This window comes from Homo sapiens, chromosome 15 (assembly GCF_000001405.40).
Source record: "Homo sapiens chromosome 15, GRCh38.p14 Primary Assembly".
In the NCBI taxonomy this organism is placed as follows: Eukaryota; Metazoa; Chordata; class Mammalia; order Primates; family Hominidae; genus Homo; species Homo sapiens.
The window spans coordinates 78,749,824-78,769,975 of NC_000015.10; the positions used below are offsets into that span (position 1 = coordinate 78,749,824).

The 20,152-nt window shown below is 60.3% G+C and overlaps 1 protein-coding gene, 1 long non-coding RNA gene and 1 pseudogene across 6 annotated transcripts in view, besides 5 other annotated features; 1 reads left to right on the plus strand and 2 right to left on the minus strand.

Moving 5' to 3' along the window:
• Window positions 1-2,213: 2,213 nt before the first annotated feature.
• On the plus strand, window positions 2,214-3,569 carry LOC646938 (TBC1 domain family member 2B pseudogene; annotated as a pseudogene). Its single transcript, NR_036495.1, has 2 exons — window positions 2,214-2,414; window positions 3,290-3,569. The product of NR_036495.1 is annotated as a TBC1 domain family member 2B pseudogene (transcript).
• A 2,571-nt stretch (window positions 3,570-6,140) lies between these two features.
• On the minus strand, window positions 6,141-7,922 carry LOC112268143 (uncharacterized). Its single transcript, XR_002957697.1, has 2 exons — window positions 7,825-7,922; window positions 6,141-6,659 (listed from the first exon to the last, which is right to left on the minus strand). It is a non-coding gene; the product is annotated as an uncharacterized LOC112268143 (long non-coding RNA).
• Window positions 6,499-7,303: an enhancer, noted in NCBI's record as "H3K4me1 hESC enhancer chr15:79048664-79049468 (GRCh37/hg19 assembly coordinates)". NCBI's record gives its function as "activates a minimal SCP1, AML or CMV promoter by ChIP-STARR-seq in naive H9 embryonic stem cells {active_cell/tissue: H9 hESC(naive)}" and the evidence as "EXISTENCE:reporter gene assay evidence [ECO:0000049][PMID:30033119]".
• Window positions 6,979-7,188: an enhancer, noted in NCBI's record as "active region_9921". NCBI's record gives its function as "activates an Ori minimal core promoter by ATAC-STARR-seq in GM12878 lymphoblastoid cells {active_cell/tissue: GM12878}" and the evidence as "EXISTENCE:reporter gene assay evidence [ECO:0000049][PMID:35858748]".
• Window positions 7,304-8,108: an enhancer, noted in NCBI's record as "H3K4me1 hESC enhancer chr15:79049469-79050273 (GRCh37/hg19 assembly coordinates)". NCBI's record gives its function as "activates a minimal SCP1, AML or CMV promoter by ChIP-STARR-seq in naive H9 embryonic stem cells {active_cell/tissue: H9 hESC(naive)}" and the evidence as "EXISTENCE:reporter gene assay evidence [ECO:0000049][PMID:30033119]".
• Window positions 9,383-20,152, minus strand: part of ADAMTS7 (ADAM metallopeptidase with thrombospondin type 1 motif 7) — a 52,259-nt gene continuing 41,489 nt past the window's right edge. For 3 of the 4 annotated variants that reach the window (XM_047432122.1, XM_047432123.1, XM_011521166.3), the window contains 8 exons: window positions 18,310-18,436; window positions 17,556-17,769; window positions 15,822-17,228; window positions 14,732-14,884; window positions 14,103-14,276; window positions 13,876-14,022; window positions 12,580-12,742; window positions 12,093-12,263 (listed from right to left, as the gene is read on the minus strand). In XM_047432122.1, coding sequence (XP_047288078.1) covers window positions 12,097-12,263; window positions 12,580-12,742; window positions 13,876-14,022; window positions 14,103-14,276; window positions 14,732-14,884; window positions 15,822-17,228; window positions 17,556-17,769; window positions 18,310-18,436 — 2,552 coding nt within the window. In that variant the 3' untranslated portion in view covers window positions 12,093-12,096. Of the gene's footprint in view, window positions 9,756-12,092; window positions 12,264-12,579; window positions 12,743-13,875; window positions 14,023-14,102; window positions 14,277-14,731; window positions 14,885-15,821; window positions 17,229-17,555; window positions 17,770-18,309; window positions 18,437-20,152 lie in introns of those variants that run through there. The other variant, NM_014272.5, reaches the window with a different exon arrangement.
• Window positions 17,254-17,831: an enhancer, noted in NCBI's record as "H3K4me1 hESC enhancer chr15:79059419-79059996 (GRCh37/hg19 assembly coordinates)". NCBI's record gives its function as "activates a minimal SCP1, AML or CMV promoter by ChIP-STARR-seq in naive H9 embryonic stem cells {active_cell/tissue: H9 hESC(naive)}" and the evidence as "EXISTENCE:reporter gene assay evidence [ECO:0000049][PMID:30033119]".
• Window positions 18,986-19,561: an enhancer, noted in NCBI's record as "H3K4me1 hESC enhancer chr15:79061151-79061726 (GRCh37/hg19 assembly coordinates)". NCBI's record gives its function as "activates a minimal SCP1, AML or CMV promoter by ChIP-STARR-seq in naive H9 embryonic stem cells {active_cell/tissue: H9 hESC(naive)}" and the evidence as "EXISTENCE:reporter gene assay evidence [ECO:0000049][PMID:30033119]".

Here is a 20,152-nt window from a genome sequence, read left to right on the forward strand (position 1 = left end):
TGGGGGACTTTGGGACCGTGGGGGCTGGCCCTGGTACCTGCGTCCAGCTGGGATGCTCTGCACCTGCAGCCAGGAGTCATCCACGGGCCCCCGTGGGCGTGCTGACAGTGGTCGTGTTGATGTTCACCGATGTTGCTGGGTGCCTCCGTCAGCACGTGGCGCTTGCGCAGCATCTCGCCGCCCCACTGTGCCTTCTCTGCCAACTCCTCCATCAGCGTGTTCTGGTCCCCATGCGAGTACAGGTTGGACAGCAGCTCTGAGAAGATGAATTCCTTGGTCTGAGAGTGGGCAAAGAGGGAAGGAGGTTGGGACCTGATACCTGTGCCACCCTGGCCACCCCGCTGGGCCCTGCTAGGACTGTGTGCTGGACTTGGAGCCCCAAGTATGGCTTTTCAGATGCGGCTTCTACACTGCTTCAACTTGAAGATCTGCGTCCCCACTGCCTTTTCTCACTCAGATGGGGACACTGAAGTCCAGAGGAAAAGCCACCTGTCCAAGGTCACAGATCTGGAAGGGGACCCAGGACCTGTCATGCCACCAGGACACCTGTCTACTCAGTTTAAAAAAATTTTTTTTGGAGGTAGGATGTCGTTCTGTCACCAGGCTGGGGTACCGTGGATGAGATCACCACTCACTGCAGCCTCAACCTCCTGGGCTCAAAGTGATGCTCCAACATCAGCCTGTTGAGTAGCTAGGACTACAGGCACGTGCCACCACCAAGCCCAGCTATTTTTTAAATTTTTGTGTAGAGACCAGGTCTCACTATGTTGCCCAGGTTTGTCTCAAACTCCCGGGCTCAAGTGATCCTTGACTTGGAAGAGCCCTGTGTTTCTGGCCTGGGCAGCCAAGTATTCAGGAACCCTCCCTGGCCACACGGTCATTGCCTGTTCTGGGCCACCCTCATCCGTATATCCCCTGGACCGCAGCTGTTGGCTGCTCTGACCCTGAGAGCCGATTTGGACAATGGGAGCTGAGGTGCTGGCTGAGGCCATGCCAGGCTTCCTGGAGGTCATCGCTATTTTTAGTCTTTTACTGGGGAGTGTGTTTGTAATAGTTTCAGGCTTACTAATAGCACCAACAAGAGTGCCCTGATTTCTGCCAAATGAGGAGGGATATGGGAATCATATTTGCGGGGGAAATTTGATTCTGAGTCCTGGGGTGAGCCTGGGGGGTTTCTGTTCATCTCGTGTTGGGTCAGGATTGCCGAGAGTGACAGGGAGTGAGCTCACCCATGCCGACAGCTAGGGCAGTGTTGGGAGCGCCGCTGCCCTCAGTTCTGTACTGGGTCCCAGGCGCTGCCAGGAGGAGCCGAGGCGAGTGGGCGTGGCTCTGGCGAGTGCCCGCCCCTTCCCTGGCACCGCAGGCCGACCTGGCCCCTCCCACACTGCTGGGCCTTGCATGGTCCTGCAGCGCCTCCTTGTGAGCGGCTCGCGGTACGGTCTCCCCTGCAGCTTGCTTTAGAAAGCGGGGTCGCCACACCAACAGGTGCTTTAAAGAGTGCCAAGGCGGTGGCAGGCTCCCCGCTGTTATCAAGACTGCAGGGGCCCATAACCCGCCTCTGGGCTGGAGCCTCAGTGTTTTAATGAGCTTCCCAGACTAGTGGTTGCAAGGAGGCCAGTCCTGCAGCACAGCGATTGGCCTTCAGAAACACAGGGAGGGAGTTGTGTGGTCAGCTGCATTCAGGAGACGGGAGTTACACAGGATTGAACCACGTTCTGCAGCAGGACTTCTAGGAGCCTTTTAAGGCGCTGAGCATCGTCTCCCAAATTTAGCTGACCATGGGACACCTTCTCATCTCCCAGAGGAACCTTCCAGGCCTGAGGCAGAGGTGGGGTCTGGCTTCCCGGGTGCCAGCCTGGGCCGAGGGGTCTCTGTCAGCTCCTGACTGAGGAGCAAATGAAGAATTATACTTCGGGCTCGTGTTCTGCAGCACAGGAGTGTTGGGCGCCGTAGGTTTGGGGTTTGTGGGGGCTGTGGGCTGACAGCTGTTGGGGAGAAAGGACTGGTGGTGGGGACCCTGTGCCCCGTTCACACGGAGCCTCCTCCCACCTGCTGGGGCTGGCAGCCCGGTCTGCAGAGCCAGGCAGGAGGCGGAACCTGAGAAATCCACACGCGGGGACCCCTGTGCTTGGGCGTTCTCTGTTCTCTGGTGCTCCCATGTTCCAGAACACACACTGGTGAATTCGGAATTTAAATAAAGCTGGCCTTTCTGACCTTAAGCCTCTGGATGAGAGTTAAGCATGTCCAGGTAGTAGTGGGTGTTTTGAAACATAAAAGGTTGCACCCTCGTGTGTGCCTGTGTTAAAAGGAGCCCACGCAGCCGACAGCAGCAGGAGCAAATGGCCTGCTCTGATGGGGACAGGCAGGAAGTCCTTCGGGGCATTTCTGTTTCATCACAGCTTTTCCTGGGGCTGGTGAGTCTGTTGGGCCTTTGGTTGACAGGGAAGCGCATGAGCCCATGTTGGTGGATACAAAGCATCTGGGGCCTGGCAGAATCCAGAGAGGGGAAGATGGTGGCCCCAGTGTTGGAGGAACTGGCCTATTTTGTGATCCCCAGAGACCAGTGTGACTGACCCATTAGTGCTACAAATCCATAGCCAGGCCTCAGGACAGCTTTTGGTTTTGTTTTTATTAAGCCACTGACCAGTGGTTAGGAGCAAGTGGATCATAACCTTAACATTTTATTGAAAATTGGAGCCCTGACCTGGGGATGTGAAACCCACGAGCTGCACATTTCTCTGTAGACTGCATCTGGACACTTGTCACATTGCCGACTAGGTCTGACAGTCATCACCAGGACTGCCTGGGCCTGTGTTCATTCCCAGTCAATGAATCCTGGGACACAGACGTCCTGGACTCGTGCCCGGTGCCAGGCCTCGTGCCTGCCCAAGGATGCAGACATACCCACCATCACCATGCAAGTGCCAGGAGCTCTTCTCAGCGCTTATGTGTGGGAACACGAGTAATCCCACACCCTAGGAGGTGGCACTACTGTTACCCCAGTGTGCAGATGAGGAATCAGAGGCCACAAAAGGCAGTGACTTCAGTCACACAGCAAGCATGTGGCAGAGCTGGAGTGCAGGCCATCATTCTGAACCTGCCTCTTGCTGGGCCTTTGTTCCTTGTCACCTCTCTGCAGAAGGTGGGCCTCGTCCCCTGCATCAGGCCCCCAGCCTGGCCAGTGCTCTTCCCACCCTGCCCCAGGCCACCTGCTGTGCCTGTGAGGGCTGTGTGTGAGCACTCTCTGGAGCGCCGCTGATTCTCTTGTCTCTCCCCTGCGTCCTGCCAGGAAGCTGATCAGTATCTCCTTTGGGGACCTGAACCCTTTCCCCGTACGCCAGATCCGGAACCGACGTGCCTACCACTTGGAGAAAGTCCGGCTGGAGCTGACCGAGCTGGAGGCCATCCGTGAGGACTTCCTGCATGAGCGGGACACCAGCCCTGACAAGGGTGAGCTGGTCAGTGACGAGGAGGAGGATACCTGAGTGGGCTCCGGGACGCTGCTCTTCCTGCCTTCACAACCAAAGTGTGCCCAAAGGGTGAAAGTGCACTTAAAAGCCAGAATGTAACGTGTGTGGCCTCTGGGGATCTGCTGGGCAGATGTCCCAAGCCAGGCTGCCCTTCCTCATTTCCCACTGTGCGGGGGGCAGGGGTGGGAGGTCTAATCTGTTTACAGCCATTTCCGTGCCATACTTTTGGTTATACATATCTCAGTCACGCTTTCTGCCTGATTGGTGGATCCTCGGGCTTACCAGTGGCTATTTGCAAGAGCCTGTTTCCAGCCTCCGTCAGCCTGTCGGTGCTCTGACCCTCTGAAACCTTGCTTTGCTGGGCATCTCCCCATATTCTCTCTCCTGTACATAGTGGGCAGTGGTGTGTGGTTTTGAATGGCAGTGCTATGAAGGATGCCCACTATGCTTCAGGCACCTGTAGGCCAGAGGGTTGCTGCCTCAGGCATAAGGTCGGTATGAAAAGGGGCTGCCTTAGAAAAGCAGGCACATCCTTTGTTCAGAAATGGCCACTGTAGAAAGCCCGTGAACCTCCCACTGGTGGCTTTAAGCTGCCAGCCATGCCCCATTTCTAGAATAGCCTGTGCTCTTCCACACACAACTCTTCCAACAGTGGCTCCCAGCCTGCATGGGGAGGGCCTGGCTGCCCAGACACCCACCCTCACTTCTCATGGCCAGCCTGTGTTTGCAGATCACTGGGCTGCTCTGTCCCCAGCTTGCCCCATGCCTGACATGGCTCCATGAGATTCTGTGGAATGCCCTTCTTGACTCGTGGAAATCATTCACCAAGTACGATGGGATGGGATTCCAAGTAAACAGTGGACCGTCATATTGCAAAGCAGGCCCACGCCTGGGCTGGCCTTGGTTGAGGGGATGGAGGAATGTTTTCGGGGGTGCTTTGCAGGGCAGTGGTGCAGCCGCAGTGTGAACGGTCTTGGACAGCTGAAAACCATGGCCTCCTTGGGGATGGCCAGTGCTCCTGGTGTCTCCTCCACCTGCCTGGGTTGTGCAGGAGGCCAGCTGCCAGTGCCTGGGGCTGGGAAACTTTTTTGCTTGGGGCAGGCTTGGGCGAGCTCTCCCAGATGTGTGCCCACCCCACCACTGCCTGGAAGCATCCTTGTTCTCTGCCAGGATGCAGGGTCACTGTTGCCTCTGACACAGCAGTTTCTGGGAACTCAGAGGACTGCCTTTCTGAAGGCTGGGGAGAGGCTTTGAGCAAGGAGCTTGTTTTTGCTTAATCCCTCTAGACCATCCCTGATGCGTAGATGTGAGAGGATGTTTTCTGGCACAGTGTTATGAAAATACAGGAGAAACAGTCTCAGTGGAATGTTTCATATTACCCGAAAAAAACTGGAAACCATCCTCTGTTGATACGAACACACTGAGACTAAGAATTGAAGTAATGCAGTTTTAAGAAGTACTTTTTTCCTATTATTTTTTGCTGTCAACTTTCTAGCAATGCCACGGCAAAGTTGGTGTTTCAGCACATGCTAGAGTGAGCTCCGGCTTCGTGTCTTTAGCGGAGTTGGTTAATGTTTCACTGGGTAGACGGAGCTGGCCTCTATATTTAGCCAGAAGCCTTTGCCTCTTTTCAGGCATCAAAAATGGGTGTTGTCATTGTCTTTGAGAACAGCAATTTGAGGTCTGACTCCTTCAGTTGTCCTGTGAGCTGGGCGTTGCAGTCCGCTCGAATCAAGTGTTGGAAACCCCCCACCCCACCCCTCAGCCCATCGTGAAACGACAGCTGTCAGCCTGGGGGGTGGCTGCTGAGGAGGTGCAGCAGGAATGGGGCTGGGCCCGTGGGCCAGCACCAGCTGCCCTTAGGTTTTACTTTCCAAGCCAATGGCCCCTGGAACATGCCAGCACACACTGCCATGTCCTGGGGCTAAGAGCTGCCTTTAGGGACAGGCTCGTGTTGTCCAGTTTGCCCTGAGAGATGCACCTGACCAGGGGCCCGTCGTGGCTGCAACCCACGGTGGTATGTTAGTGTTTCCAGGCAGTTGTCAGCAGCTGCCGGGTAGTGTGTGTGTGCGACAGCAGGAGAGTTCCTGGAGGAAAGGGACTGGGGACACTTTCTCAGAGGTTCTCCTGCCTGGAATCAAGTGATGCGTGTCCAGAAGGCAAGAGAGGGCGGCTCCGCCTGGTTAAAGTTTGGGAACGGGACGGAGCCAACTCCTCCTTCCAGGACTGTGGGCCCCACTCTTTTGCGCTAACACTTCCCCTCCCTCGGGTCACTGAGGAAAGAGCTGCTCTGTCCCCTCCAGTGCCCTGAAGGTCCCTGGCCTCCACTGGCTGCCATGGCAGGGGGCCCTTCTGACAGGGGCTGCCCCAAGCTGCTGTTCCTCCTCTGAACCTTCACCCCAACACCCAGCCCGTGGCCCCTGCAAGGGGGACCCTGCCAGCTGGGAAACCCAAAGGCCTGTCCAAATGCGCGCACCAGGACCGAGGGGAGCTCCCTCCCCACATCTGCTGCGAATTGCCAGCTTTTAAATGGATGGGGTTTTTTATGGGTTGAACCTCTGTTAATACTTTTGTACACTCTCACTACAGTTTATATTTTTATAGGCTATTTTCTCAAGGTGTTTCTAGATTCCACATATCTATTTTATATAACAAGTTCTTATGTTATGTGTGTGACTCCCTTGTGTGTATCTGTGCCAGCCTCAGCCTCCGAGTTGCTTTTCCCTCTGGCCCTGACTCTCACTGACTCACCGATGTGATGTGCAGGCCCACTTCTTACCCCAGATAGCCTCGGGTGCTGCCTGTAGTCATGCTGACAGCTGTACAGTAGCCGCCAAGACTGCTGACGGCTGGAGACGGTTCTGGTTTCAACAACTACGGTATATTGATATCGGAAGTATTCTAGACAGATCCTCAGTTGGGTTTTCTAGCTACATGTTTGTATTGCACAGATCCCCACCTGCCATCCTATAGTGTTGTCTTCCTGTGTGTTCCGGGGCTTCTGGGCAGCTGGGCCTGCCCGGGGAAGTCCTTGCAGGTGGGAGGCCATACAGAGACCCAGTGTGTGCCACTGAGCGTCCCACCGCTGCTGGGCAACTGGAGGACTGCAGGGGGCGCCAGGTGACTCTCTCCTTTTATATCACAGCAGCTCCTGTGCTGACCTTCAAGTTATGTTTTGGAACTGTAATACTAAAGGAAGAAATAAACTACTAATTTGTATAATATTCTGCATTGAAATTCAGTTATAGTCACTAGTGATGGGGCTCACCCCAAGGGCTTGGAGGGTGGGGCAGGGCTTATTGGTGTTGCGGGGGGCGAGGAGGGGCTCTCCAACCTTCCAGCCTGGCGTTTCTGGGTGTCTCTGCCCTTGGCTCACCCTGGGGCGGGTGCATCAGGATGCCTTTGCCAGCAGGGGCAGCCTTGGGAGGCCCCAAGAACCATGGCCAAGCTGCAGGTGTGGGCTGGGGGCACCGAGGTGGGAAAGCCGGAAGCTGGAGACTCCCTGTGTCCGGATAACCCCCCGCCCAGCCACAAAGAACAGGCATGCCTCCTTCCGCCAGCTGTGCCATGCCCTGCCTGAGTCACAGGCTTGTTTGTCTCCCGTCTTGGCTGACAGCTCAGGCCCAGCTGCCACTGGGGACACCCCCAGTCATCAGTGGAAAACACCCAAGAATGATGAAGACCAAAGGGGTTCCCATAGGGGTGTTTCGGGGTGGCTCCATCAAGGATTCCCAGACAGGGCAGGCCAAGGCCTGGCAGGCTTTTCTCTTCTGGGGACGTGGATTCAGCGAGGCTGGGGGTTCCTGGAGTCACGCAGCAGAGCGGCGGCGGCAGAGCTGGGACAGGGACTGGTTCGGTGTGTGGGTCAGGAGCAAGTCGACAGGCCCTGCTCCCCACCCCTTGGAAGGGAGTGCCACCAGGGGCCGTTCTGACTAAGGCCTGGGAAGCCGTGACTCAGAGCGTGGGTCCCCAGGGTCTCTTTGGGCCAGCCGGGCTGCTGCAGACAGACAGGAAGCACGCCTGACGCTCCTCCACCCTCGGGCAGCACAGCGGGGCTGGGACTCACGCTAGCTTGCCCAGCAACTTGCTTTCCTGCGTGAACTCTGGCAGGCTGCCCTCTCTGTGCAAAGCCACCACTGGGACCTGCTTGGGGCCCTCTCCCTCTTCCACCTGCTCAGGGTAGCCTGGAGCTTGGAGGTGGGCAGTCGGAGCCTAGGATGGGCCTGTGTCACCAGGGCATGTGCCCTTGGGCCAGGTACTTCCTCTCAGAGCCTTGAGTTCCTCCTCTGAGGATCGGGCTTGTTGGTGTGAAATGAGGTGAGCATGTTGAATTGGGGAGCAGCAGGACACGCACCTGCAGGCAGCTGCCGTGGCCATGCTCCCTCCCTCCCTTCCAAGTCCTGGGACAGACGCTCATCGCCGAGGGGTTCAGCCTCTGATACTGTTTCTTGGTCTCAGCCCCTAAGGAGTAATTTTATTTTATTTTTTTTGTGTGAGATGGAGTCTCGCTCTGTCGCCCAGGCTGGTGTGTAAAGGTGCGAACTCAGTTCACTGCAACCTCCGCCTCCCAGGTTCAAGCGATTCTCCTTCCTCAGCCTCCCAAGTAGCTGGGATTACAGGTCCCCATCACCGCACCTGGCTAATTTTTGTATTTTTAGCAGAAATGGGGTTTTGCCACATTGGCCAGGCTGGTTTCAAACTCCTGACCTCAGGTGATCCGCCCGCCTCAGCCTCCCAAAGTGCTGGGATTACAGGTGTGAGCCACCGCGCCCAGCCAGGAGTGATTTTCAGTGGTGTCCCCTCCATCCCCAGCATATACCCAGCCCTGAGTGGCTGCGGCTGCCACATGCAGGCTCCAGGGCTACATTCACCTTTCGTCCAGGGTTGTCATACGCTGGAGAGTAGAATGTGAGAGGTGACCCCTGTAGGCTGCAGGGCGAGCTCTCTGAACCTTAGTGTCCCCCACCTGGAGAAGGGGCGTAACACCTTCCAGGGGGAGGGCTGAGGAAGAAATTGTCAACGGCTGAGTCTAAGGCTCACAGCCAGAGGCCAGGGTTGGATCCAGGGCTGGGCCTGGGCCTGGGGGGACAGTGTCCGCCCCTTCCCCAGCCTCCCGCCCCTGGTCAGGCCAGGACCCTCTTCAAAGCACCTTCATGCCCATCTGTTCCCTGCTGTGGGCACTACTGTCTGGCTCCATGGGACTAGATTTTATGGGAGGGGAAGGGGCTGTGGGTAGGCAGGTGCCAGGTGCTGGACCATAGATCAGCGTGGTAGGAACCTGTAGCTGGGGCTGGTGGTGGGAAAGGGGCCAACCTGAGGCAGTGACAATTAGCCCAGCCCTATCTCTGGGCACAGAGATGAAGGGACACGTGGGGACACAGTAGGGCACAGCTGGCCAGCCTGCTCTTCCCCTCTCTGCCTGCTTTTTGCAGAAGAGTCAACAGATAGAACAGACAGGGCCAGGGAGGTCCCCATGGGGGCCCCAGTCCCCACCACTCCAGGGGGCAGTCCCTGCAAGTGACATGGTGGGCTCAATCCCTGTGGAACAGGTCTCTGAGGACCACAGAGTGGGGCCCCAGGGAAGGCTGGGAGCCTGAGCTGAAGGCAGGCAGCAAGTAAGGGCCAAGCCGTGCCCCTGCCCGGAAGACCTTCCTGCCCCCAGAACCCCACCCTCTGCAGACAGCCCTCCCTGGGGAGCAGCCCCCCAGCTTCTGAGGCCTTCCGTGCCTCACCAGATGCCATGCTCTCAGGGACTCATTTTCTACGCTGCCCCCTGCAGATCTGTCCCAGAGGAGCAGGTGAAAAGCCACGCCTGCCGAGGTGCTGTGGCGGTGGAGTTTTGGGCAGAGGGGTGGGGGGAAGAGTTTCTCACTTTTAAGATTCTCCAAATCCAAGACGAAGTCACGCTGTGCTTTGGAATGGTAGATGCTCATTTATGTAAAATCATAATAAATGTTACACAAACTGTTAGAATAAAAAAATACCTTTTTTGAGGGGGAGGAGGTCCCCAGCCTGCTGCTGGGTAGTGAGAGGGGGTTAGCACCATTAGGGCGCAGGGGGCGGGAGCTCCGCCACAGCCCGTGGTGGGCACTGAGGTCTGTCGGTCGGTCTGTGCATCCTGGCGCAGTCAGCGGCGGGCAACCCGCTGATGGCCTCGGGAGGGGGCGCCGTGGCTGGGCGGAGAGCACGAGCGGCAGCACTGGGTGCGGATGGTGGGCAGCTGGCAGCGGCCCAGTAGGCGCAGCGTCTCGCAGAACCCGAAGGACAGGCGGTCCCGCTCACAGCCTGGAGTGGGGGGGCAGAGAGGCATCAGAACCAGTAGCTTGGGGTACCCAGAACCTGGCTCCCTACGCCAACCACCTTAAGGAGGCTCCAGCAGCTCCCCACCAAGCAGAGAGCCCCAGTTTCTGGAGCGGCTCCCGAACCGGAGTTGCAGGTCTCCAACTGTTGCTGTCTCTGTCCCACCTACTCATGGCCAACCCCAGGACTCGAGAACGGGTGCTGCTGGGCTGAGGTTTCTGGAGGAAAGGTCCTGAGACCCCACCCTGACCCCCTCACATGCCTGTTAAAGAGCCTGCCCAGGGCGACGCCTTGCCACCCCATCTCCATCCTTGCTCATCCCTGGTGTTCCCGGACAGATCCTGGCACAGAACTGCGGTCCCGGGGCCTCCTGCCAGCCTGCAGCGGCCTCTGCCCCCGACTCCCGCCACCGCCCCCTGCCCCAGTGCATCTGTCCTGCCAGGCCTCCGTGACCACCTCCAGCCACAGGGGCTGTACTCAGCCTCGGGTTCTGAGTCACAGGGTCCCATCTCCCAGGCCAGCCTCCCACTTCTCAGGTGGGCCACGAAGCCTAGAGTGAGTGGGCCTTACAGGCCGTCAGCGGAAACCAGAGACTGAGCCCAGCCTGCTGGGGAGGGAGGCCAGCTGCAGGCTGTGCTTGTCAGGGCTGAGGCTTGGCTGGGCCCTCCTGCCCCGTGGTTATCAGAGCTATTTTGGGAAGTGGCTTGTTTCCAGCCTCCTGGCCTTGCTCCTGATGCCACTGCCACTGCTGACAGCCCCCAGCTGCCACCCGGGCCCTGCTTACTCCAGCAGACCTCCCTGGGGAGGAGGAGCAGGAAGGCAGCAGCCAGCCCTGGGCCTGGGACATCCCCCAGGCCCGGCAGAGGGCACGAGGCAGCAGGCAGGCTCCTCCACCCCAGCTCCAGGCAGAGCTCCAAAGTGCACATCTGCAGGCCTGCATCCTGGTCGCCCGGGGTGACCTCAGACAAGCTGCTTCACCTCTTGGGCCTCGGTTCCCTCCTCTGTCAACCCCACCTCCACAGCAAATGGATGTGGCCATGCTGTGTCACTGCAGTGAGCACACACACACGAGTTTCCCAGCTTTCCACATGTCCCGCCAACTGTCCCACAGACCAGCAGAACATCTGGGAATTCCAGGTCTCCAAGTCCAAGACACCTTCCCAGCCCCCCTCCACTGTTCACTGATGGCAGAAAACTCCTCACTTAGGACAGCTTCTAGTTCAGCCACCTAACCAGCCCCCATAGCCCACTCCCTGCAGCCCACTCACACCCGCCCCTGGGAGACCTTGCAAGCCCAGAGCCTCCTGGGCCATCCGTCCTTGGTTCTAGGCCCCCAGGGGCCTCAGTTTCTGTTCTCTGCCCCATCTGGTCCTCCCCCACTGGGATCATAACCACCCCGCTCCCTGTGGCCAGCCCTAGCCATAAAGGTGAGAGACGTGGTGCCAGCACCCAGCTCAGGTAGCACATAGGAGTGCTCTGAGATGCTGGCTGGGTGCGTGCTGAGGGCAGGCAGGACAGGGTGGGGGCGCTGCCACTGGGCCTTGAGGTTTGAGGCAGGAAGACCACCCATGCCAGAGGCAGGGCAGCGAGGCATGGCAGGGGCCACTCTGAGCCTGAATGAGGGCTGCCCAGGAGCTGGCACAGGTAGAGAAGGCAGCGTTGGACAAGGGGAGAAGGCAGACCGGGGAGATTGCAGGGGGCCCTGAATGCCAGCTTGAGGGCCCTGGCTGAGGACTCTGTCCTAGGGGCAGGGAGCAGACAGCCAATAGCACAGGGGACACAGCTCTTCACGCCACGGCTTCTGGATTCCTTAGACTGGCAGGGTCAGCCCCAGGCCCTCTCCCTGACCTTGCAATTGGGGATGACAGTGGCTGTGGGGGAGGGGAAAAAGCCACCTTCCCTGAGCACCACCTGGATCCCCACGCAGTGCTGCGTGCTTCATGCCCAGACCTCATTTATGCAAGGATGGGGCTTGGCAGCCCCTTTATTCAGCACATGAAGGCCCTGAGAGGGAAATGGAGCCCAAGGCCACACAGCTGGTGAGGGGAGCCTAGGTGACACTCCAGGGCCACCCCATTTCCTGCCCTCAGCACTTCCGGGAGCAGCTGGGGCTGCAGGAAGGAAGTGTATGACTGTGTGTGTGTGTGTTGGCGTGTGTGTGTGTGTGCGCGCACGCACACATGCTGGAGGCGGCGGCAGGGGTGTCCAGAACCACCTCTACCTCAGGCCCTTCCACCAGGACCCAGCTGGCCAGGAAACCCCCCACCACTGGGATTAACAGGACCCTGGAAGGGAGGCCCTTCCTGCCTCAAACCCCATTACCTCATTAGCAGGACCCTGGAAAGGAGGCCCTTCCTGTGGTTCCATTGCTCACTCTAGGCAGTCCTCTAGCCAGGGAATGGACAGGCCAGGGCTGGGGACAGGGACTCACCCAGGCCCAGTTTTCACACAGCCTCAGGGACATCCCTGGTCTCACTGTGGGAAGACTGAGACCTAGAGGAGAAAGAGCTTACCCAGGTTCACACAGCAAATCAGGGGCCAGGGCCACTCCCTCTACTCCCCCAAGGTCAGACAGCTGCCTATGGGATGTTGTGTGGCCGGGACTCCCCTTGACTGACTCCCAGCACAGCCCAGCCTCCAGCATGGCATCCTGTGGCATCAGGATTTTCAGTGGCCATGTGGCTCCTGAGCCCAGACTACAGATGGAACCAGCCAGTGCCGTGGGCACAATGGTTTGACGACCCCATTTCCCCATCACCCTCCCCACCCCACCTCACTTCAGCAGGGAGCCTGGGGTCAGGGGACTCACGGGGAGGCTCGACGGGCTCACAATCCTCGGTGCCACACGGCCGGGAGCTCTCAGGCCAGGCCTCGTGGCCACACTGGTCACTGTCTTCCTCGGGCAGCCCTGTCTGGGTGTTGACACACTTGACCAGGCGCCGCTGGACACCACCACCACAGGGGCCTGAGCACTGAGGGGAGCGGGGGAGGAATGAGTGTCTCCAGGGCCAGCCCTAGCAGTGGGGGCAGGGACACCTCCTCTGGGAAGCCGTCCCTGCGCCCTGTGCCTGACTGGCCTGGCCTTGCTCCCAGCCGCCCCCTCAGTGCCTCCTGGAGCACCTGGTCCCATTCCTAGAGCCCACTTGGTGCTGGAACCCCACTCTCACTTGTGGGATCGGCTCCTGCAGAGGGAAGGGGCGTGAGAACCGTGGGACAGCCCTCGGGGCGGCAGGGCAGTGAGCCCCTCACACAGGACATGCCTGAGAAGCCTGGGCAGGGGCGCCGGGATGGAGCCCTGATGCAGCAGTGGGCAGAGATGTGGGCGAGACACCGCTGTGCCCGAGGGACAGGGCAGAGGACCTGCCGCAGCCCATGGGCAGGAGGGCAGGAGACAGTTTCACAGCCGGGGCCCAGCCCGCCAGGCTTCGTTGTTATCAGCCCTAAACATGCACTGAGTCTGTGCCAGTGTCATGCTGTGCCCGGCCCTGTGCTTCGTTGCGTTCCTTCATTTAATCCTCCTGACCCTCCTCTCCTAAGCTGTTCCAGTTTTACAGATGAGAAAACAGTGACCCAGCAACGCAAAGCAACCTGCCCAGAGTCACTCAGCAGCCAGTCGGACAAAGACGCAAACGCTGGCCCAGCTGACTCCAGGACCCAGCTCAGGGCCCAAATCTGAGATTTCTGAACCCCTCAGTTCCAAACAGGCCCAGCAGAAGGTGTCCTGCCCATCTGAGGCCCCTCTTACGCCCCCTTCTGCCGCTGGCCTTTGCCGGGCTCCCCGGCCCCCTCAAGCTCGTCATTCCTGCCTCAGACTTCACACCTGATGTCCCTTCGATCCCTGTCCTTGGCATCACTGACTCCTCCCTCGGGTCTCAACCCCAGACCCCTCCTTGGAAGGCCTTCCCTGACACCACAGCACACGCGCCCTTTCCTTGTCTGTTTCTCCCTGGCAGGTGTGAGCACCAGCCGGGCGGGGCCTCGTCCAGTGACAGGGCCACAAAGAGCCTGGCTCACAGCACACACTCCACAGCTCCTTCACCCAACCCAAGACTGACCAGGCGCCACCAAGCACTTGCTCCCTGCTCCTCCCCGCAGCCCGGCTCACCTGGCCCCAGGGCCCCACCACCCACTGCGTGCAGGGGTGGGTGTTGCAGGGCCGGGTGGTGTTGGGTCTCAGCGCCTCCTCGCAGAGGCCTGGCTCCGGGCAGGTCACTAGACGCTGCTGCTCACCACCGCCACAGGCCTCGGAGCACTGGGTGGGCAGGGAAGGAGTCAGGGCACAGCCAGGGTCTGAGGGCGTCCCCTCCCCCCAACTCAACGGCCAGGCCTCACCTCCCTCCAGGAAGATGTGTACCAGCTGAGGCAGGGCTGGGCCCCGCAGGGCCGGTGCGCAGGCGGCTTGGCAGGCCCGGGCTGACAATGGAAGGGCCGCAGTGGCCGGAGGTCCCGTGTGTCCACACACTGCACGTCCCGCACTGAGGAACCTCCGCCGCAGCTGCGGGAGCACTGGGGACCGAGAGACGTGTATGGACACATCCCCATGTGCAGGCCCACAGGCGTGACCCCGTGAGGTGTGTGGCGGGAAAGGCATCCAGGCCCACGCCCCAGCCCGGGGGAATAGCTGAAGAACCCCAGCGAGAGGCCAAGGCTGGCAGGCCCCAGGCAAAAGGTGGCATGGCCAGGGGCTGCCACGGGCTGGGACAGACAGAGAAAGGGAGGAACAAAGGCAAGCTGGTGAAAGACAAGTCCAGATGGGGTCAAAGATACAGAGGAAAGGAGACAGGCCAAGCCAGACAAAGATGAGAAGACTCCCAAGAGATTCAGAATCCGGTGTGATCGGGCACACAGATGTGCAGCCTGGGGCCCTCCCCTTCCCTGCCGCTCTCAGAACACAGGCCGTGGGGAACCAGGGCTCCACCCCATGCCCTGGGAATGCCTGTCCTGGCTCCATCCTCACGCACCTTACTCCAGTTGCCTGAGTGCCAGGTGGCACAGGGCCGCAGGTGGCAGCGGCGGGCAGGCTGGGGCCGGCCAGCGGGGGCGCAGTCCTCATCCCGGCCGGAGCTACAGCGCACCGGCCTCCAGACCGCACCCAGGCCACAGGTGGTAGAGCACTGCGGGGCAGAGACCCGTGAAAGCCAGGCAGATCCCATCCCCGCCAGGCCTCCACAGCCAGGAAACTACCCACCTAGGCTAGCGAGACCTCAGCAAGACAGGGGCCCTCTTCTGGGCCTCAGTTTCCTTATTTGCAAAATAGGCTCCTTCACCCACCTCCCAGGAAGACCGTGAGAATGAAAAGTCAAATCCCCTCAGCAACCAGCCGTCCCTGCTCACATGGGACAAAGGGCCTGTGTTCCAGTGTCATTGGTGCAGAGGTGGGGGGAGGGGACCCTGTGGGCACCCCGACCAGCTATCTTGACCAGCCTCGTCGCTTCCCAGAGGCACCAGGGAAGGAAGGCTGGGTCCTGGTACCAGCAGCCAAATCGCTGGGTATCCCTGCGCAAAACAAGCCCTGTGGGCCTCAGCCTGCCCCTTCCCGCCCCAAAATTAGGGATCTGAACAGAAGCTTCCTTCTCCTGCAGTGACCATCTGGGGACCCAGGGAGGGGCACTAGCCAGCTTCTTTCTGGCAGCTCAGACCCCTGCAGGTCACTGCCAAAGGAGGGTGGAGCCACTGAGGGCAGAGCCAGGTGGCAGTGGGCTGAGCCCAGCCTGGAGAAGCCAGGTCCAGCCTCAGGGAAGCTGCTGCCTGCTGGGGAGGACTGGGCCTGGCGGCCATGCGGGGACCGTCCCCACTGCACAGCTGTCTGAGCCAGCTCCATTCTGGGGTGTGCTGTGCTGCCAGAGTGTGCCTGCCCCTGCCTTCCCTGAGGCCCCCTGTGCTGCCCAGGAATGGGGCCCGGGGTCCCCTCATCCCCCTAATCCTGGGAACCCCTGCCCCAAGAGAGGCTAGACAGACGGCGCCTGTGTCCCACTCTGCTCATTTTCAGATGAGGAAATAGTCACCAAGGTCCTGCGCAAACTCCCTGCCCGCCCAGCCCACACCACTTGCCTCGCTCCAGTTTCCCGCTTGCCAGCCGGCGTTCCTGACAACCAACGGGTCCGCGGGGGGCCCCGCTTCAGCCAGGCTGGGAGCCAGCGGCTGGGTCTCAGGGACTCTGTGGCTGTTGGCGGGGCTGTCCCAAGCTGGTGTGGACAGCAGCCTAGAGCTCAGGGGCACCTCAGGGCTGAGGGACTCAGGCTGACCCTTGGGTCCTGGGTTCAGGGCAGGCTCAGGCATGTGCCCGAGGCCAGTCAGGGTTGTGGGGAGGAAGGTCCCCCACACTGCCACAGTCTGCAGGTCCCATGAGCCTGGTCCTGGGGTTGGGAAGGAGGGAGTCCCCGGCTCCAGGGAACTGTCCCTGACCTTCATCTCTGGCAGAGGGGCTATGGGAGGAGGAAGGAGAGAAGCCACCCCAACAGTGGGCCACAGTTCACTGTCCACAGGCCCCAGGCCACCCTCCAGAGCTGGCTCCCAGGCCACTGTGCCTCCTGTCCACAGCTCCGCCACGTCAGGACTAGGAGAGGAGTGGGTGCTGCCAACAGGGGACAAAGGGGGCAGCGTGGAGCTGGGTCTCGGGGGCAGGTGGGGTGCTCCTCGGCCCTTGGGTTCCTCATCATCCTTGAAAACCTCATTGGTCCTGTCCCGCCATGGAGGGGGCAGCTGGCTCTGGCTGTCCTTGCCAACTGGGAAATCATTTTGGCTCTCAGGGGTGGCAGGTGTCTGCAGGCCATCAGTGGAAACCCTGGGCCAGGACAGGCTGGGGAGCCCAAGATCTGGGGCCCCTATGGGGGTGTCTTCCTCAGGCAGGAAATTGATCAAAGGGTTCCCAGGGGTCTGCTCTGAGGGTGGGGGTGGGGAGCGGCCGGCCTGGCTAGGCCAAGGGCTCGGGGACCAAGGTCCCAGTACCCCCTCCTCCTTGGCTGCAGGAGGCTCTGTGGCAGGCACGGGGCTACCCGTGGAGGGCGCAGCAGGATGGCTGTGTGGTGGGGGTGTCCGGTCCCCTGTCCCCGCCAGGTCTAGATCGGGCTCCTCAGAGGGCCCGTAGGACAGATCCTCGTGGAAATTGATGAAATTGTAGTCGTAGTAGAAGTCGTCCACAAACACGGGCCCCGGCAGGTCCAGCTCTGGAGCCTCCTCCTCAATGGCGTTGCCCATGGTGCCTGGCTTGGGTGATGAGGCGGGTGAAGGGCGTGGGGCCAGGTGGTGCGGGATGAAGTCAGCCTCGTTGAAGAGCTCGTGGCTGGAGGAGCCGCTGCCTGAGCCTTCAGGGCCCAGTGTGCCCAGGGGCCACCGACAGAGTGGCAGAGAGCAGGTGACTTCGCTGGCTGGCTGCTGGGCCTCGTCACAGGGGACACCGGTGTCATTGGTGCAGAGGACATTTCGGCGCTGAGTGCCCTCCCCACATGTCACTGAGCACTGCAGGGGAAGCCAGGGTGAGGGGCTTACCCTGGGAGGCAGGCTGCCAGGGGACGCTGGGGCAAGGCTGGGTAACCTGTCCACTGCCCGATGTCAGAGTGGCAGAGACCCCAGCCAGCCCTCTCTGGCCCTTCCCAGCTCAAGGCCATGACTGTGGCCATGCTTGCCAGGGGCTTCCTGATCCCTGAGGCTTTAGAGTCAGGGGCTGGACCCTGGAATGCCCAGGTTCCCTCCCACCCACAAGGTCTCCAGGAAGGCTGTCTGCCTCCCTGTAGCTGAAGACCAAGGGTGGAGCTGGAGGCGGGCCCCTTCCCATCCCACACTCACCTGAGACCAGTTCCCCACAGCCCAGGTGGCCGGACAGGGTACATGGCGGTTGCAAGGGGTTTCAGTAGGGGGCCGGGGAAGGTGTTCACAGGCGGGTGGCTCCAGGGCGCTCTGCTCATCCAGCCCCACGCTGCGGATGCAGAGCACGGCCCGGCGGGAGAGGCCCCCAGGCCCGCAGGAGCTGGAGCACAGCTGCCACTCACCTGCCCACCACCTGGCGAGGGCACACAGGTGGCATCAGTGTGGCATCAGACAGGTGGCCTGCAGGCTCACCAGCAGGGGGGGCCAGGCTGGGCTTCCAGGCCCTCGGCATTTGGGTAGAGCTGGGACTGAGGCCAGTGGTTGATTCTCCAGAGCTCCAAGCTCAGGTAAGTGTCCTGCCCTCAAAGCCTGGTGACATGGCACAGCCCCTCCGCTCCTGCCAGCCTCCCCTCAGGAAAACTGAGCATGACCTAAGGCCTGTTTCCACATCCAGGGACCCAAAGAGGAGGACCACAGGTGTCCAGGCTGGCCTAGGCTGGGGTGAGGGGTAACCGGGGGTTGGGGCTTCAGCCTTGGGAAGAGAATAAAAGCCCGGCTCCCTCTGCTCCTCCCCAGGGCCTCCAGGGACCCAGATGTAGGGACCTGTGGCAGACCCAGGATGCCTGGGGGTGGGGAGTTGGCGGGGGATGGGGTGGGGAGTTGGCGGGGGATGGGGGTGGGGAGTTGGCGGGGGATGGGGTGGGGAGTTGGCGGGGGATGGGGGCGGGCTCACCTGGCAGGGCAGGGCTGCTCGCTGCACTTCCTCTGTTGGTCATCAGGCCGGCCCAGGGGGTCACAGTGCTCCTCGTCCACGGGCCCTGCCTGCCGCTCCAAGCAGTACACATTCTGCCTCTGCACACCTAGGGGCCACGGGGCTCAGCCTGGGACTGGCACCCAGGTGCCCACCACCCAAGACCCAAAGACACCCTCTCTGCCAGAACCCTCCCAGAACAGCGCCTTACTGCCCGTGTCAGGATGCCTTACTGCCCATGTCAGGATGAAGGCAGACCTCCACCGTCGCCTCCTCACTGTCCTCCTGGTTCTCACCCGCCCCCTCTCCTATGTAGCCTCCCCTCTGACTGGAGGGGTGGCAGAGTGTGGATGTTTAGTGGGTTGGGTGCCCAGACCCTCTGCATCCCAGCTGAGATGCCTGGGCAGCTCATTTGGCCTCTCTGAACCTCAGTGTCCTCCTCTGTAAAGTGGGAGCAACAATCCTGCCTCCTCCATGTCCTGGAGGGAGGACTGCGTGTGTTCTTGCATGTGCAGGCTCAGCCCGTGCCCGGCACATCCTAAGAGCTCGATCCATGCCAGCTGCTGTTAGCATGCAAACCCAGCCATGGCTCCTGCCACCCTCCCCTCAGGGAAACTGAGAGTGACCTGAGGCCTATTTCCACATCCAGGGACCCAAAGAGGAGGACCACAAGTGTCCAGGCTGGCCCAGGCTGGGGTGAGGGGTGACCGGGGCTGGGGCTTCAGCCTTGGGAACAGAATGAAAGCCCGATTCCCTCTGCTCCTTCCCGGGGCTGGCTTGGGTGATGAGGCGGGTGAAGGGCATGAGGCCAGGTGGCGCAGGATGAAGTCAACCTCATTGAAGAGCTCGTGGCTGGAGGAGCCGCTGCCTGAGCCTTCAGGGCCCAGTGTGTCCGGGGGCCACCGACACATCATCCCACCATCCACACCCTTCCCAATGGCTCAGAGAACCTCCGGACAAGAAATGGGGCATCAAGGGGCAGCCCCTGCTCTCCATCCCCACACCAGGCTTGGCACTGCTCCTGTCCTTCACACCCTCTGTCACTGCCAACCCTGGGGCCTTTGCACAGCCACGCTCCTCACCTTGGACACTCACTTCCATACTGCCTGTTGAGGCCCAGCTGCAGGACCCCCTCTGCTGGTGGCTCTGCCTTCTCTGCTCCACCCCCTGCCCCGTGGTCCCGAGAGTAAGTTGTCCCTCCCCTGAGCTGCCAGTCCCACATCCGTCCCCCTCTTTCCTCACCAACAGATTCTGATTTTGTTCAAGACAGCAATGGGACCTGCTGAAAACACACCCCACTGCCGCTCCCTTGCAACTAGGGGGGTCTGGGACACAGTACTGGCTCGGGAGAAAAAGGCACAAGTCCCTCGCTGGGAGTCAGCCCTTTTCCCTCTCCTTCTTCCTGCCCAGAACACTGCAAGAGCCCTGGAAGGGAGGACACCATCTGTGGCAAGCAGGAGTGGAGGGGAGGCTGCTGTGACAAGGACGGTGTGGCTGAGGGCCAGTCAGCTCCAGGTCCCGCCAGCTTAGACTGTGCATCTGGGACTTCCTGCCTGAGACAAAGAACCCCTGTCTGTTCCAGCCACCACAGGGCACTTGCCTCTGCAGATGCTCCCAAGTGGTCCACCTGCGAAGCAGCCAATTTGCTGAAAGACAGTTCCCCAAATGTCTAGTGCTGCAAGTGTATTTGTTGGTTTTCAAGTTTGTCCAATTAAAGACACCTGTATTAGGCCAGGGGCAGTGGCTCACACCTGTAATCCCAGCACTATGGGAAGCCAAGGCGGGCAAATCACCTGAGGTCAGGAGTTCAAGACCAGCCTGGCCA